This window comes from Homo sapiens, chromosome X, assembly GCF_000001405.40.
Source record: "Homo sapiens chromosome X, GRCh38.p14 Primary Assembly".
Classification (NCBI taxonomy): Eukaryota; Metazoa; Chordata; class Mammalia; order Primates; family Hominidae; genus Homo; species Homo sapiens.
The window spans coordinates 135,724,542-135,740,392 of record NC_000023.11 but is presented as its reverse complement, the minus strand read 5'-3'; the positions used below and the strand labels follow the sequence as shown (position 1 = coordinate 135,740,392).

The following is a 15,851-nucleotide window of genomic DNA, read 5'->3' as shown; positions in this document are numbered from 1 at the left end:
AAAGAAGTATGTTATCATCGCATTTAAAGCATAAATCATGTTAAAAATGCAATAACCTATTCATGAGAAAAAATGTAAAAGCATTTAAGAAAGGTCTCTATCATTCAGTATGATACTAGCTGTGGGTCTATCAGAAATCCACTGCACACATTATTCCTAGGGGAGAAATATGAGATGCATTCCTTGTAAAACCAAAACAGGACAGAATTGCCCACTGCCATCACTTCTGTGCAACACAGCCCTACAGGAATTCCTAGCTTACACCTGAATATAGCGGGTGGGGTATTCACACAAAGCCAGCTATCAGACAGTTTAATTAAACACAAGCTCTGAGAATGGTGCTTCTCAGGGAGTTTTGGTGACATGCTTAATAGTGGTGATTAGGTGGTTCATGCCTATAGTTCCAGCTACTTGGGAGGCTGAGGCAGGAGGATTGCTTGAACCCAGGAGGTCGAGGCTGCAGTGAACCATAAGTGCTCCACTGCCATCCAGTATAGGAGATAGAGTGAGACCCTGTCTCAAACATAATAATAGTACTAGTATTAATAGTGGTGATTGTCTGGAAATAGAGATTTTAGGGGAGCTCCAACCAGTAGCTCCATGCAGTGGCTGATAATTTGCTGATATTCAGAGCTACCAGAGTTGTGAGGGTGTAAGTTTAAAGGCTAACATGGAGCAGAGGAGGGGAGTGGGGGAGTGGAACAGGTTAAATCACCACAAAGCTTATGGTTTGTAGTGTGATTTAGCCATTTTTCTTGAATAAATATTCTTCGGACTGTTGAATTCCCAGAATTCCAATAATTTCTATGTTGACAATATTTGCCACTTTTTAAAAATAAAAGCATGGATTTTCACTGGTCTTTCCTCCGTGATTCCAGTAGTCTTCTCCTATATGTTACATTTTAACTTAAATATAAATCCAACAAATGAGATTGGAATTTATATTCTCTTTCTTTTTTCCTGTATGAAAACTAATATAAGTGGTGCCTGCATATCATTCACCTCTATTGGTAAGCTAGCCCTGAGGTACTGCTTCTTCATTCAACTGGTTATAGTGTACTCCCCTTAGGGATATAGGTCCAGATTGAGAGAATATATTAGTTTTATTGCCGTGTAACAAACAACTCCAAATTAAATGGCTAAAAGCATCACCGAATTATTATTTATTATCTCACAGTTCTGCAGTTCAGAAATCTGGGAGGTCTTGACTTGGTTCCCTACTTGGAGTCTCAAAAGGCCAAAATCAAAATTGTATGCAAGCGGTGTTCTCATCTAAAAAGTTTGGGGTGGAATGCAATTCCAAATTCATCCGGATATATGGCAGAATCCAATTCCTTGCCATGCAGAACTGAAATCCTTGATTCTGGCTGGCTGTGAACTGGGACTCACTCTCAACTCATAAAGCGGCTTACCAGATCTTTTCACGAGGTCCCTTCCCTATCTTCAAGCCAGCATCAGCATGTCAAATTCTTCTCATTCTTCATAACTGTCTCATCCTCTTGTGGTACCAGCTGGAGAAAAGACTCTGCTTTTAAAGGCTCATGTGTGTGGGTTAGGCCCACCTGAGGAATTCCTCTATATTTAGGTTAACAGGTTAGTAACCTTACTTACATCTGCAAAATCGCTTTTGTCATGCTAGATAACTTAATCAGGGGGTGAAATTCATGGGGACCATTTTAGTATCCTGCCAATCGTAGATGGAGAAAGTTGTGTGGCAGGAATAGGATCCATGTGTATTTTGGCCACTTCATCATGGAACTTACTTTCGCCTTCAGGACATGCTTGATCTTGTACATACCACTTCCATTTAATAATGGTGTGCTTCTATGCATACCCATTGCTGTAACTTGGTGGGTCAGAAAGCACCTAGGATAAGACAGGCATGTCTAAGTAGCATTATAATTTGGCGTCCATGGTCAAGCATTGAATGTCACCCAAGGCTCAGTAATAAATCACATATTTTTCGAAAGAATCAGCATGATGTTTGTGTCTTCAAGAAATTCGTGTCAATTCAGAACTGGGGTCCTGTAGTCATTGAGAAATCTAATAATTTCTCTTCCGCATGTACTTTCACCTTAGTGAAGGGCTACAGGCCTTCTTTGAGTAAGAATGGGAGAAAGAGTGGTGGTATAAACTTTTTCATTTTAGAAAGGTCCCTCCTCAAGAGGCCTTGTCTTAATTCATGAGGTTTTAGGTCTATAAACTAGTCAAGTCTGCAAGTTGATTGAGGCACAACCTTTCAGTCATCATGGGGTTAAGGAGAGATATGTCTAAAATTCAGGAGAGCCTATAGAGCACCTCTTAGTACTCCTGTGTCCAGTGATGAAAGTCAATGAAAACTACAACAGCCTAATTCAATCAGGACTGCTTATGGCCGTGAACCTCAAGATTGGAGGTTTGAGTCACCCCACTCTGAAAAGGTCTGTCACCAGGGAAGGTGCTTGATGAGGATAAAGGGAGTATAAAATGGGTAGTGGGAAAAGTGACTACATGACCATAGGCAGATACAAACACTAACATAAGTCCTTGTTTCTGTGTTTGTTTCAGAATAAAGAGTATCACTTCCTTATTTTGATATGAATTCATTTGCATATATATTAATATTATATGTGTCACATATATGTTTTATAATATATATATAAACTAAATATTTTTGGTTTTGACCTCCTGACATCCCCTGATCTACCACAAGATGTGTTATTAAGTTAACTTTATTTTTCAGAATTTAAGATGCAGGATATTAAAGGCACAGTGTGAATTAGGTAGCAGCAGATTGAACAAGATTTAAGAAAAATGTGGGGCTTTAGTGCCCTCTTTTGGAGAAGAGTTTGTATTTTCAAGTGACAAGGGTATAACATGCAATTTGTCAGCTTGGCTAGGCCGAATTATATTAGCCACAGTTCTCTTTCTGGGAAGTATCTGGTGTTCCCCGTGGAGGTTCTTTGAAAAATTGTGCAGGGCAGTGGATAGGAGGCAGCAGCCATTTGTAGCTACACACGTTGTTGCTGCTCTCTGGATTCACCTTATTGGTATGAAGCTGCAGCCAGACCTGCAATTTCTCTTCCTTCCCCTGGATGCTCTTTCACCTTCTCTATCTTCTGGGCCAGGTGTATATGTTTAGCTCTGCTAGGTTCTGAAAGAGCCTTTCCTGGCTACTGCAGGACGCCCTCATCACTAAGATCAGAGGCAACAAAAATGAACATGTACCTCCATCTGCCCTCATAATGTTCCAGATCCTCTTTGTAGGTTTCAGCCTATTTGTTACATCGCCATCCTCAGTAGAGACAATAAAAGCCTTATAGAGACTGCGTTACCACCTTTCACAATTGTGTAAGACCAATTCTTTTTAACAAATCATCATTCAATTTGTGCATCTATCCACTGCCTTTATTAAGCCTCATTGTATCACCTGCTTATAGAGTTGCAAAGTTTTACTCTATGCTGATAACTAGTACACACGGCCTGTCCTGAAATCCATTTTTAAAAATTTCCTTGCTGCTAAGGTCAATATTTCATAATCAAGCATGAACAAATACCACTGTTGACAGTGAGTGTAGTTTTGAAGTCTAAATTGTGATGTTCTTACCTGAATATTCTGAAAGAAAATAGTACAATTTACTTTTCCATGAAGGAATAACAAAGCACAAGAAAGGCAACTAGGCTGGGTGTGGTGACTCATGCCTGTAATCCCAGCCCTTTGGGAGGCTGAGGCAGGGGGATTGGTTGAGCCCAGGAGTTAGAGACCATACTGGGCAACATGGCGAGACCCCAGCTCTACAAAAAATATAATAATAATCCAAAAATTAGCCAGACATGGTGGTGTGCACCAGTAGTCCCAGCTACTCGGGAGGCTGAGGTGGGAGGATCGCCTGAGCCTGGGAGGCCAAGGCTGCAGTGAGGCAAGATTCTGACACTGCACTCCAGCCTAGGCAACAGGGCAAAACTCTGTTGGAAAGAAAGAAAGGAAAAGAAAGAAAAGAAGGAAAGATAGAAAGAATTAAAGAATGAACGGAAGAATGAAAGGTAGGAAGAAAGAAAGAAAGAAAGAAAGAAAAGACAACTAGAAATTTCTCCAGCATTAATGGATTTGTGAAAATTAACAAAATGTTTTCTTTGTATATATGAAAAGTTGAAATCATTTTGTACACAAAATATTTGCAAATTAATAAGAAACAAAACATTACTTATAAATGTAAACCTTTGTAAAATATTAAAGGTAAAACCACACAATATTTTGCTCTTTTTGTGCTTTAAAATCATAGAATGGGCCGGGTGCAGTGGCTCATGCCTGTAATCCCAGCACTTTGGGAGGCTGAGACGGGCAGATCACCTGAAGCCAGGTTTCAAGACCATCCTGGCCAACATGACAAAACCCCATCTCCACTAAAAATACAAAAACTAGCAGCATGATGGCACCTGTGGTGCACCTGTAATCCCAGATACTTGGGAGGCTGAGGCACAAGGATCGCTTGAACCAGGGTAAGGTGGAGGTTGCAGTGACTTGTGATGATGCCACTGCACTCTAGCCTGGGCAACAGGGCAAGATTCTGTCTTAAAAAAATAAAATAAAAAAGCGTAGAATGTGCAAGTCATATCTGGAGACAACAGCCTTACAGGCACTGCTACTGCAGCTCCAAATTATTTTATCAGACCAATCCTATCTAGGAACTACCTTTATTATATATATTGGATATACCCCCCCCACACACATACATATATATATATGGGGGTGTATATATAATATGTGTAATGTGTATAATGTGTATTATATGTATAATGGGAAATTATAAAGTGTGTGTGTGTATGTATATATACCCCCTACCAACACACACACACACACACACACACACACACACACACACAGGTATAATGTGTATTACATGTATAATGGGAGATTTTAAAGTGTGTGTGTGTGTGTGTGTGTGTGTGTATTTTAAAGTGTGTATATAAATGGGAGATTTTAATGTGTGTGTGTGTGTATACACACATTAAAATCTCCCATTAGTTCTGCCTTTTCGTTGAAGGCTGACTGATACAGATTTCAACATTGAGAGTGCTTCCAAAGAAAGTCTTAATGACACCTTCCTTGAATTCATTCTGGGTTTTCTGGAATATTTCTTAATTGTGATTAAATTTGGAGGCTTTAATGAACCTGTTTTTCTTTGGAAAATGCTGAGTGTTGGGAAAAAAAAACTGAGGCAGGGCTTGCATGTCTGACATAATGTCCTCTGGAATGTGTCCAGACTTGCTGGCTCCTTGCTTCTAGCCCTCCTAGGCTCCTAGATCAACTCTATTCCCATTATCTCAAGTAGCAGAACATGTTCCATATAAATGCTAAACCGTCACAGCTGTAGATCATGCACCTGCCCTTTTGACCCTTACATTCTCACCACCTGTCTCTTTGTTGGATTACCAATAAATAGCATGGGCTCCCAGAGCTCAGGGCCTTCACAGCCTCCACAATCATGATGGCCCCGGGTCCCACTTTCCTTCTCAAACTGTCTTTTTCACAATCCTTTGACCCCGCTGGACTTTGTCGCTCCCACGACCTGGTGCTGGGTCTGGTCACCCCAACAGTTTGCAGTAGTAAAATGAGCACTGGTAGTGCACAGTAAGAAATAGCAAAAGAATTACTCACATTTACACCTTTAGAGTCCTATAATGAAGTGCCTATAAAAGACAAGTCCCTGGGTGACTAACTGTAAATTTTTTGTCTGGTCTCTAACTCCTGGGCTCCAGCAATACTCCTGCCTCAGCCTCCCAAAGTGCTGGAATTACAGGCATGAGCCACCGGCCCTGACCTGGTTGGCTTTCTTGTGCTTTGATATCTTAGAATGGTTTGGTCAAAATAAGGAGTATTGAGTGGTTGATTTGTTGTTTCTAATGTACTGTAGAACATGAAGAAAGAAGTCGTTAAAGTTCTTGCTCAAGGTGTGAAGGAAGGACCTGATAACATCTATGACTGGCCTGAAAGAAACTGTCATCTCCTATAGCAACCAGGCCAAGATTTGGGAAAATGAAATCCAAAGTCTACTCCTGTCAGTGGCTGAATTACAGCACAAATTGAATTCACAACCTCAAAAGGGTCTCTTCTGCTAATGTTAGGGCACTAATAGGGAGAAATCAGATACTGAAAACTGGAATGGAAACGTATAGGTTTATGCCAATGAATCTGGGCACTTAGAACTGTGTTTTAGTCAGTTAGGGCTGCTATAATAAAATACCATATACTAGGTAGCTTACAAACAACAGAAATTGTATTTCTCACATTTCTAGAGGCTGTAAGTCTGAGATCAAGGTGCCAGCATGGTCAGGTTCTGGTGAGGGCCCTCTTCCATGTTGCCAGGGCACAGAGAGCTCTCTGGGGTCCCTTTTATATGGACAATATTCCCATTTATTAGGGCTCCACTTTCATGACCTTCCAATGGCTCCACCTCCTAATAACATCACAATAGGAGTTAGGATTTCAATAAATGAATGTGGCGGGGGACACAAACATTCGGTCCATTGCAAATCCCTAAATTCTCCGGGTGTCTTTGTCAATAGAAGCAGCCCTCCCACTCCTCCTGCCCGAGGTTCCCCTTTACCCGAAGAGCTGTGAGGGTCTCACCTGAGATCGTTGCCTTGAAGGGCACCGCTGCTCCTCCTCTGAAACTAACACCAGCACCCCTCATTGCTTCTTAACCTGCACTTAAATTCAAGTTCCTGCTGGCCAAAACAGTGAGTTAAACACTGAGCCCTGTCAAGAGGTGTGATAGTCACCGAAACAACTGTATGATTTTTCCAATATAGTAGTCTCTGGTAAATGTGTGAGAGTAGTTCTTAAGGCTGGGGTATGAAGGTGTACAAAATATAATATTGGATCTGGCTTCAAATATTTGTGTGCAAGTTTTGCTGTGGATATATGCTTGTATTTCTCTTGGATATTTAGCTAGAAGTGGAATTTGCAGGTTGTTCAATAACTTTATTATCAATTCTGTGAAGAAATGCCAGACTATTTTTCAAAGATGCTGCATCATTTTACATTCCCAGCAGCAATGGTGGAGGGTTCCAATTTCTCCTCTATAACACTTGTTAATTACTTGTTAATATTCATCCCAGTGAGGTGAGGTAGTATCTCCTTGTGGATTTGATTTCCATTTCCTTAATGTCTGAGGACATTGATGATCTATTCCTGTGTTTAAGGTTGTAGAAATGAGGTCCTGGTTTCTTTACTGGGTGACAGCCAGGGACTACTCTCAGCTCCTAGGCCCTCCAGCATAGCTTCGTTGTGTACTCCTACATCTTCAAAACAGTAAAGCCCAATCAAATCCCTCTTGTCCTTTGACTATCTTGTACTTCTGTTTCTGCTCTCTGGTGAAGAAATCTGTCGACTTTTATGTGTTTTTATTGGGGTGGGTGGGGGGGCATCAGTGGTGTTGTTCATTTGTTTGTTTGTTTGTTAGACAGGGTCTCGCTCTGTCTCCCAGGCTGGAGTGCAGTGATGTGATCATGGCTCACTGCAGCCTCAAATTGCTGGGTTCAAATGATCCTCTCGCCTCAGCCTCCCAAGTAGCTGGGACTATAGGCACGCACCACCACGCCCACCTAATTTAAAAAAACAATTGTGTTTGGAGACAGGGGTTTCACTATGCTGGCCAGGCTGGTCTCGAACTCCTGGACTCAAGTGGTCTGCCCACCTCACCCTCCCAAAGCACTGGGATTACAGGCGTGAAACACCACGCCCATCTCTGTCTGCTTTTAAAGGACTCAATTGAGTGTGGCAGGCCCATCCACAGGGACACCTCAGGGATAACTGAGATATGGAGTTTATGCCATCTGCAAAAGCCCACCCCAGCCAGTCACTGCTGGAGTGGGCAGAGGCTGCTTGGCTGGGTCCTGCAGGCCCCTGGCCACTGATGGATGAGTGTGCCCAGGAGGCAAGTCCGCTGGCAGCACAGGGAACAAAGAGGGCTGGGGTGGGGCTCAGGCAGGGCTTCTCCCAGGACAGACCTGGATGCTGAACTGGGAGGACCGAGGTGACACTGAGCCCTGGCAGCTCCTAGTCTGATGAGCTGCAGCTGCCAGGCGAGGATGCGGAGCCCCGGCAGTGCAGGGCAGCTGAGAGCCTATGGGCAGGCACCCCAGGACCCAAGATGAGGGCAGCTGCCAGAGCCAGCTCCAACTGCTACAGTCCAAGGCCACCACTGTGAGGCTGTCCGGTTCTACCAATGTTCTCTCCTTTCAGCATTTGTTGGTACCCCAATGAGTTTCCCCGTAATAACCCCAGACATTGCCTCAGGTACCTGAAGAAGAATGCAGCTTTGAAGATGGGGTGCTTAATCCCAAGAATCCCCACCCATTTGGCCACATCAAATGACTTTGGTATTGTAATTTGCATTTTGTATGCGAAAGGTTCAAAATACTTCAGGGGTAGGCTGGTGTTCGATTTTTGCTAGAGAACAACCACTACTTTACCCCAGACTTTTACCATGTCTTCAAAAAGATGTAGCTATCAGAGTGGCAAGAGTGCCCTGGGTGTGATGTTCTCTTTCCAGGGACTTACATTGCCAGCTGCAGTTTCTACAGCACTGCTGATGAAGTGCATATAAAAACTTGGAAAAGAAAGGAAACTAGTATATGGAAGAGGTATCTGCACTCCCATGTTTGTTGCAGCACCATTCACAATAGCTAAGATTTGGAAGCAACCTAAGTGTCCTCCAGCAGATGAATGGATAAAGAAAATGTGGTACATATACACAGTGAAGTACTATTCAGCCATAAAAAAGAATGAGATCTCATCATTTTCAACAACATGGGTGGAACTGGAGGTCATTATGTTAAGTGAAATAAGCCAGGCAAAGAAAGACAAACTTCACATGTTCTCACTCCTTTGTGGGAGCTAAAAATTAAAACCACCGAACTCATGGAGATAGAGAGTAGAAGGATGGTTACCAGAGGCAGGGAAGAGTAGTGGGGGTGTCGGGGGAAGCGGGGATGGCTCGTGGGTACAAAAATATAGTTAGGTAGAATGAGTAAGATGTAGCATTTGATAGCACAACAGGGTGACTAGAGTCAATAATTTATTATAAATTTTAAAATCACTAAAAGAGTATAATTGGATTGTTTGTAACACAAAGGAAGGATAAATGGTTGCGGTGATGGAGACTATTTACCCTGATGTGATTATTATACATTGTATGCCTTATCAAAATATCTCATGTAATCCATAAATATATACACCCACTAGGTACTGACAAAAATGAAAAATGAAAAAAGACCCTGGAAATCCACAGAGCATGATATGGGTCTAGCCTTCACCTGGGATGGCAATTAGACACTGATTGAATGCACAGACATTTTCTCTTCTGATGGTGATTATAACTGGGACTGGACTCTTCAATATTTGTATCTTGGCTTCCAAAATTCTGGAAAGCACTAGTTCCTCAAGTTCCTAGGGTTATTCATTCTGGAGACTCTAGTATACTCTGCAAGAAAACCTGTAGGCCATCCACCGGAATGCCCAAATGGAGTCACTCTTAAATAACAAGCCCTGCATGTTTCCAAAACCTCTAATTATCAGTGAAAAGTTTACTACGGCAGCCATTTCGCCACCCAGGGCAATTGGAGAATGGCAGATACTAGGGACCATTAATTCTGTAAAAGCTGTAGAAGACTGCAGTAAAGAATCACAGTTACAGAACCAAAAGTGACAGTCTTCTATTTTGGATGTTTGTACAAAGAGGATATACAATTAATAAAGTGGTCGAGGAACAGTTTTCTGCTTTAACACCAAAAACTAACATAGAAACCTGTAAAGGTGTCCAAGTATAGTAATCCTTTTCATGTATATCTGGTTAAGATTTAAAACTGAAGCTTTCTTTTTTAACCTTTTTAAAATTATAGATGCAAGACGGGTACATGTACAAGTTTCTCACTTGGATATAATTGCATAATTCCGGGGTTTGGGCTTCTAGTGAACCCATCTCCCAAATAGTGAAGAGAGTATCCAATAGGTAGTTTTTCAACCCTCCAACCCGCTCCCTCCCTCCCCTCCACTTCCCTTTTGGAGTCCTCAGAGTCAATGGTTTCTACCTTTATGTTCATGTGTACCCATTGTTTAGCTCCCACATATGAATGAGAACACGCAGTATCTCATTTTCTGATTATCTGATTTTGTTTCTGCGTTTCACTTAAAAGTGAAGTTTTCGCTGGACACAGTGGCTCACGCCTGTAATCCCAGGATTTGGGAGGCAGAAGTGGGTGGATCGCTTGAGGTCAGGAGTTCCAGATAAGGCTGGCCAACATGGCGAAACCACAGCTCCACCAAAAATACAAAAAATAGCCGGGGCCTGGCGCGGTGGCTCGCGCTTGTAATCCCAGCACTTTGGGAGTCTGAGGTGGGCAGATCACTCGAGGTCAGGAGTTTGAGACTAGCCTAGCCAACATGGTGAAACCCTGTCTCTACTAAGAAATGCAAACAACTAGCCAGGTGTGATAGTGTGTGCCTATAGTCCAGCTACACAGGAGGCTGAGGCAAGAGAATTGCTTGAACCCGGGAGGTGGAGGTGGCCGTGAGCCGAGATCGGACCATAAACTTAATCAAATTGTTGTTCCAACTGCAGCTGCTGTACTGCAGGTGGTTTTGTTGCATCGGCAACTGTGACATCCCTGGGAACCTGATATATAATCGTGATTAGGTGAATGTTTTGTTTTCTTTCAGTAGTTGTCATAAAGAAGAGTTTGGGTCCAGCTAGAAAGGACAGCAATGTACTATCATCTCCTCTTTCAACCTTATATCAACTCTCAAGGTTTATATCCTAAATGAGTCCTTAGGGACCATGACCACCTTTCTCTTAAACCAGATGTAACACCATTCTTTGCACTGATGACATTATGCTGACTGCGCAGGAGGTAGCAACTAATCCAGACACATTAGCGACACACTTACAAGACATTATGTGAGAAATAATTCCCAAACAACGTCAGGGGTCTTCTACCTGAGGGAAACGTCTAACAACTTAGTAGTCTGGCATGTCAAGATGGTGGTTATAAGGTGAACAGCATGTTCTTACATCTTGCCTTTTTTACTACTAAATAAGGAACACAGAAACGAGTTCCATAATAGATGTTGTCTTAGTATATACCTCAATGTTGTGCAGTACTGTGACCCACTGACAGGTGCCTGAAACCCTGCTAGCATGGATTGGGGCCCAGAAAAAGAGAAGCTTCCTTAGTCCTGCACCTGCGGTCTCATGGGGAGTTCCCTGCGACCAGTTGATGAGAAAATAAAAAACATCATGCCTGATTTTCATTTGTTATTTCAGAATATGCCGGCACCACGTCTATTAAGTTTGTTACTACTGCAAAAGAAATTATCCCCAATTTAGCAGCTTAAAACAACACAAATATATAAGCAGTTCTGTAGATCAGAAATCCATGCAGCCTAGATTGGTATCTCTGCTTAGGATCTCACAAATCAAAGGTAAGTTATCAACCAGGCTGCTGACTAACTGAGGACTCAGAGAGAAATTATTTTCAAGCTCATTTGGGTTATTGGCAGGTCTAACTTCTATTTATTCATTTATTTTCATTATACTTTAAGTTCTAGGGAACATGTGCACAGCGTGCAGGATTGTTACATATGTATGCATGTGCCATGTTGGTGTGCTGTACCCGTTAACTCATCATTTACGTTAGGTATATCTCCTAACGCTATCCTTCTCGCCTATGAGTGAGAACATGCGGTGTTTGGTTATCTGTCCTTGTGATAGTTTGCTCAGAATGATGGTTTCCAGCTTCATCCATGTCCCTACAGAGGACATGAACTCATCCTTTTTTATGGCTGCATAGTATTCCATGGTGTATATGTGCCACATTTTCTTAATCCAGTCTATCATTGATGGACATTTGGGTTGGTTCCAAGTCTTTCCTATTGTGAATAGTGCCGCAATAAACATACATGTGCATGTGTCTTTATAGCAGCATGATTTATAATTCTTTGGGTATATACCCAGTAATCGGCTGGCTGGGTCAAATGGTATTTCCAGTTCTAGATCCTTGAGGAATGGCCACACTGTCTTCCACAATGGTTGATCTAATTTACAGTCCCACCAACAGTGTAAAAGTGTTCCTATTTGTCCACATCCTCTCCAACACCTGTTGTTTCCTGACTTTTTAATGATCACCATTCTAACTGGTGTGAGATGGCATCTCACTGTGGTTTTGATTTGCATTTCTCTGATGACCAGTGATGAGGAGCATTTTTTCTCCCATTCTGTAGGTTGCCTGTTCACTCTGGTGGTAGTTTCTTTTGCTGTGCAGAACCCCTTAGTTTTATTAGACCCCACTTGTCAATTCTGGCTTTTGTTGCCATTGCTTTTGGTGTTTTAGTCATGAAGTCCTTGCCCATGCCTACTATGTCTTGAATGGTATTGCCTAGGTTTTCATCTACGGTTTTTACTGTTTTAGGTCTAACATTTAAGTCTTTAATCCATCTTGAATAAATTTTTGTATAAGGTGTACGGAAGGGATCCAGTTTCAGCTTTCTACATGTGGCTAGCCAGTTTTCCCAGCACCATTTATTAAATAGGGAATCCTTTCCCCATTTCTTGTTTTTGTCAGGTTTGTCAAAGATCAGATAGTTGTAGATATGTGGCATTGTTTCTGAGGGCTCTATTCTGTTCCATTGGTCTATATCTCTGTTTTGGTAACAGTACCATGCATACCAGAATCTCTGGGACACATTCAAAGCAGTGTGTAGAGGGAAATTTATAGCACTAAATGCCCACAAGAGAAAGCACGAAAGAGCTAAAATTGACACCCTAACATCACAATTAAAAGAACTAGAGAAGGAAGAGCAAACACATTCAAAAGCTAGCAGAAGGCAAGAAATAACTAAGATCAGAGCAGAACTGAAGGAAATAGAGACACAAAAAACCCTTCAAAAAAATCAATGAATCCAGGAGCTGGTTTTTTGAAAAGATCAACAAAATTGATAGACCGCTAGCAAGACTAATAAAGAAGAAAAGAGAGAAGAATCAAATAGACGCAATGAAAAATGGTAAAGGGGATATCACCACCGATCCCACAGAAATACAAACTACCATCAAAGAGTACTATAAACACCTCTACGCAAATAAACTAGAAAATCTAGAAGAAATGGATGAATTCCTCGACACATATACCCTCCCAAGACTAAACCAGGAAGAAGTTGAATCTCTGAATAGACCAATAACAGGCTCTGAAATTGAGGTAATAATTAATAGCTTACCAACCAAAAAAAGTCCAGGACCAGATGGATTCTCAGCCGAATTCTACCAGAGGTACAAGGAGGAGCTGGTACCATTCCTTCTGAAACTATTCCAATCAATAGAAAAAGAGGGAATCCTCCCTAAATCATTTTATGAGGCCAGCATCATCCTGATACCAAAGCCTGGCAGAGACACAACCAAAAAAGAGAATTTTAGACCAATATCCTTGATGAACATTGATGCAAAAATCCTCAATAAAATACTGGCAAACCGAATCCAGCAGCACATCAAAAAGCTTATCGACCATGATCAAGTGGGCTTCATCCCCGGGATGCAAGGCTGGTTCAACATTCGCAAACCAATAAATGTAATCCAGCATATAAACAGAACCAAAGACAAAAACCACATGATTATCTCAATAGATGCAGAAAAGACCTTTGACAAAATTCAACAACCTTCATGCTAAAAACTCTCAATAAATTAGGTGTTGATGGGACGTATCTCAAAGTAATAAGAGCTATTTATGACGAACCCACAGCCAATATCATACTGAATGGACAAAAACTGGAAGCATTCCCTTTGAAAACTGGCACAAGACAGGGATGCCCTCTCTCACCACTCCTATTCAACATAGTGTTGGAAGCTGTGGCCAGGGCAGTCAGGCAGGAGAAAGAAATAAAGGGCATTCAATTAGGAAAAGAGGAAGTCAAACTGTCCCTGTTTGCAGATGACATGATTGTATATATAGAAAACCCCATTGTCTCAGCCCAAAATCTCCTTAAGCCGATAAGCAACTTCAGCAAAGTCTCAGGAGACAAAATCAATGTGCAAAAAATCACAAGCATTCTTATACACTAATAACAGACAAACAGAGAGCCAAATCATGAGTGAACTCCCATTCACAATTGCTTCAAAGAGAATAAAATACCTAGGAATCCAACTTACAAGGGATTGTGAAGGACCTCTTCAAGGAGAACTACAAACCACTGCTCAATGAAATAAAAGAGGATACAAACAAATGGAAGAACATTCCATGCTCATGGGTAGGAAGAATCAATATCGTGAAAATGGCCATATTGCCCAGGGTAATTTATAGATTCAATGCCATCCCCATCAAGCTACCAATGACTTTCTTCACAGAATTGGAAAAAACTACTTTAAAGTTCATATGGAACCAAAAAAGAGCCCGCATCGCCAAGTCAATCCTAAGCCAAAAGAACAAAGCTGGAGACATCATGCTACCTGACTTCAAACTATACTACAAGGCTACAGTAACCAAAACAGCATGGTACTGTTACCAAAACAGAGATACAGACCAATGGAACAGAACAGAACAGAGCCCTCAGAAATAATGCCGCATATCTACAACTATCTGATCTTTGACAAACCTGACAAAAACAAGAAATGGGGAAAGGATTCCCTATTCAATAAATGGTGCTGGGAAAACTGGCTAGCCATATGGAGAAAGCTGAAATGGGATCCCTTCCTTATACTTTATACAAAAATTAATTCAAGATGGATTAAAGACTTACATGTTAGACCTAAAACCATAAAAACCCTAGGAGAAAACCTAGGCAATACCATTCAGGACATAGGCATGGGCAAGGACTTCATGTCTAAAACACCAAAAGCAATGGCAACAAAAGCCAAAATTGACAAATGGGATCTAATTAAACTAAAGAGCTTCTGCACGGCAAAAGAAACTACCATCAGAGTGAACAGGCAACCTACAGAATGGCAGAAAATTTGTGCAATCTACTCATCTGAAAAAGGGCTAATATCCAGAATCTACAATGAACTCAAACAAATTTACAAGAAAAAAACACACAACCCCATCAACAAGCGGGCGAAGGATATGAACAGATACTTCTCAAAAGAAGACATTTATGCAGCCAACAGACACATGAAAAAATACTCATCATCACTGGCCATCAGATAAATGCAAATCAAAACCACAATGAGATACCATCTCACACCAATTAAAATGGCAATCATTTAAAAATCAGGAAACAACAGGTGCTGGAGAGGATGTGGACAAATAGGAACACTTTTACACTGTTGGTGGGACTGTAAACTAGTTCAACCATTGTGGAAGTCAGTGTGGCAATTCCTCAGGGATCTAGAACTAGAAATACCATTTGACCAAGCCATCCCATTACTGGGTATATACCCAAAGGATTATAAATCATGCTGCTATAAAGACACATGCACACGTATATTTATTGCGGCACTATTCACAATAGCAAAGACTTGCAACCAACCCAAATGTCCATCAGTGATATACTGGATTAAGAAAATGTGGCACATATACACCATGGAATACTATGCAGCCATGAAAAATGATGAGTTCATGTCCTTTGTAGGGACATGGATGAAGCTGGAAACCATCATTCTCAGCAAACTATCCCAAGGACAAAAACCAAACACCGCATGTTCTCACTCGTAGGTGGGAATTGAACAATGAGACCACATGGACACAGGAAGGGGAACATCACACACCGGGGCCTGTTGTGGGGTGTGGGGAGGGGGGAGGGATAGCATTAGGAGATATACCTAATGTTAAATGACGAGTTTATGGGTGAAGCACACCAACTTGGCACATGTATACATATGTAACAA

At 41.5% G+C, this 15,851-nt stretch overlaps 1 pseudogene; it reads left to right on the top strand.

Annotated features, from left to right (window-relative positions):
- On the top strand, positions 9,263 to 9,860 carry MGAT2P1 (MGAT2 pseudogene 1; annotated as a pseudogene).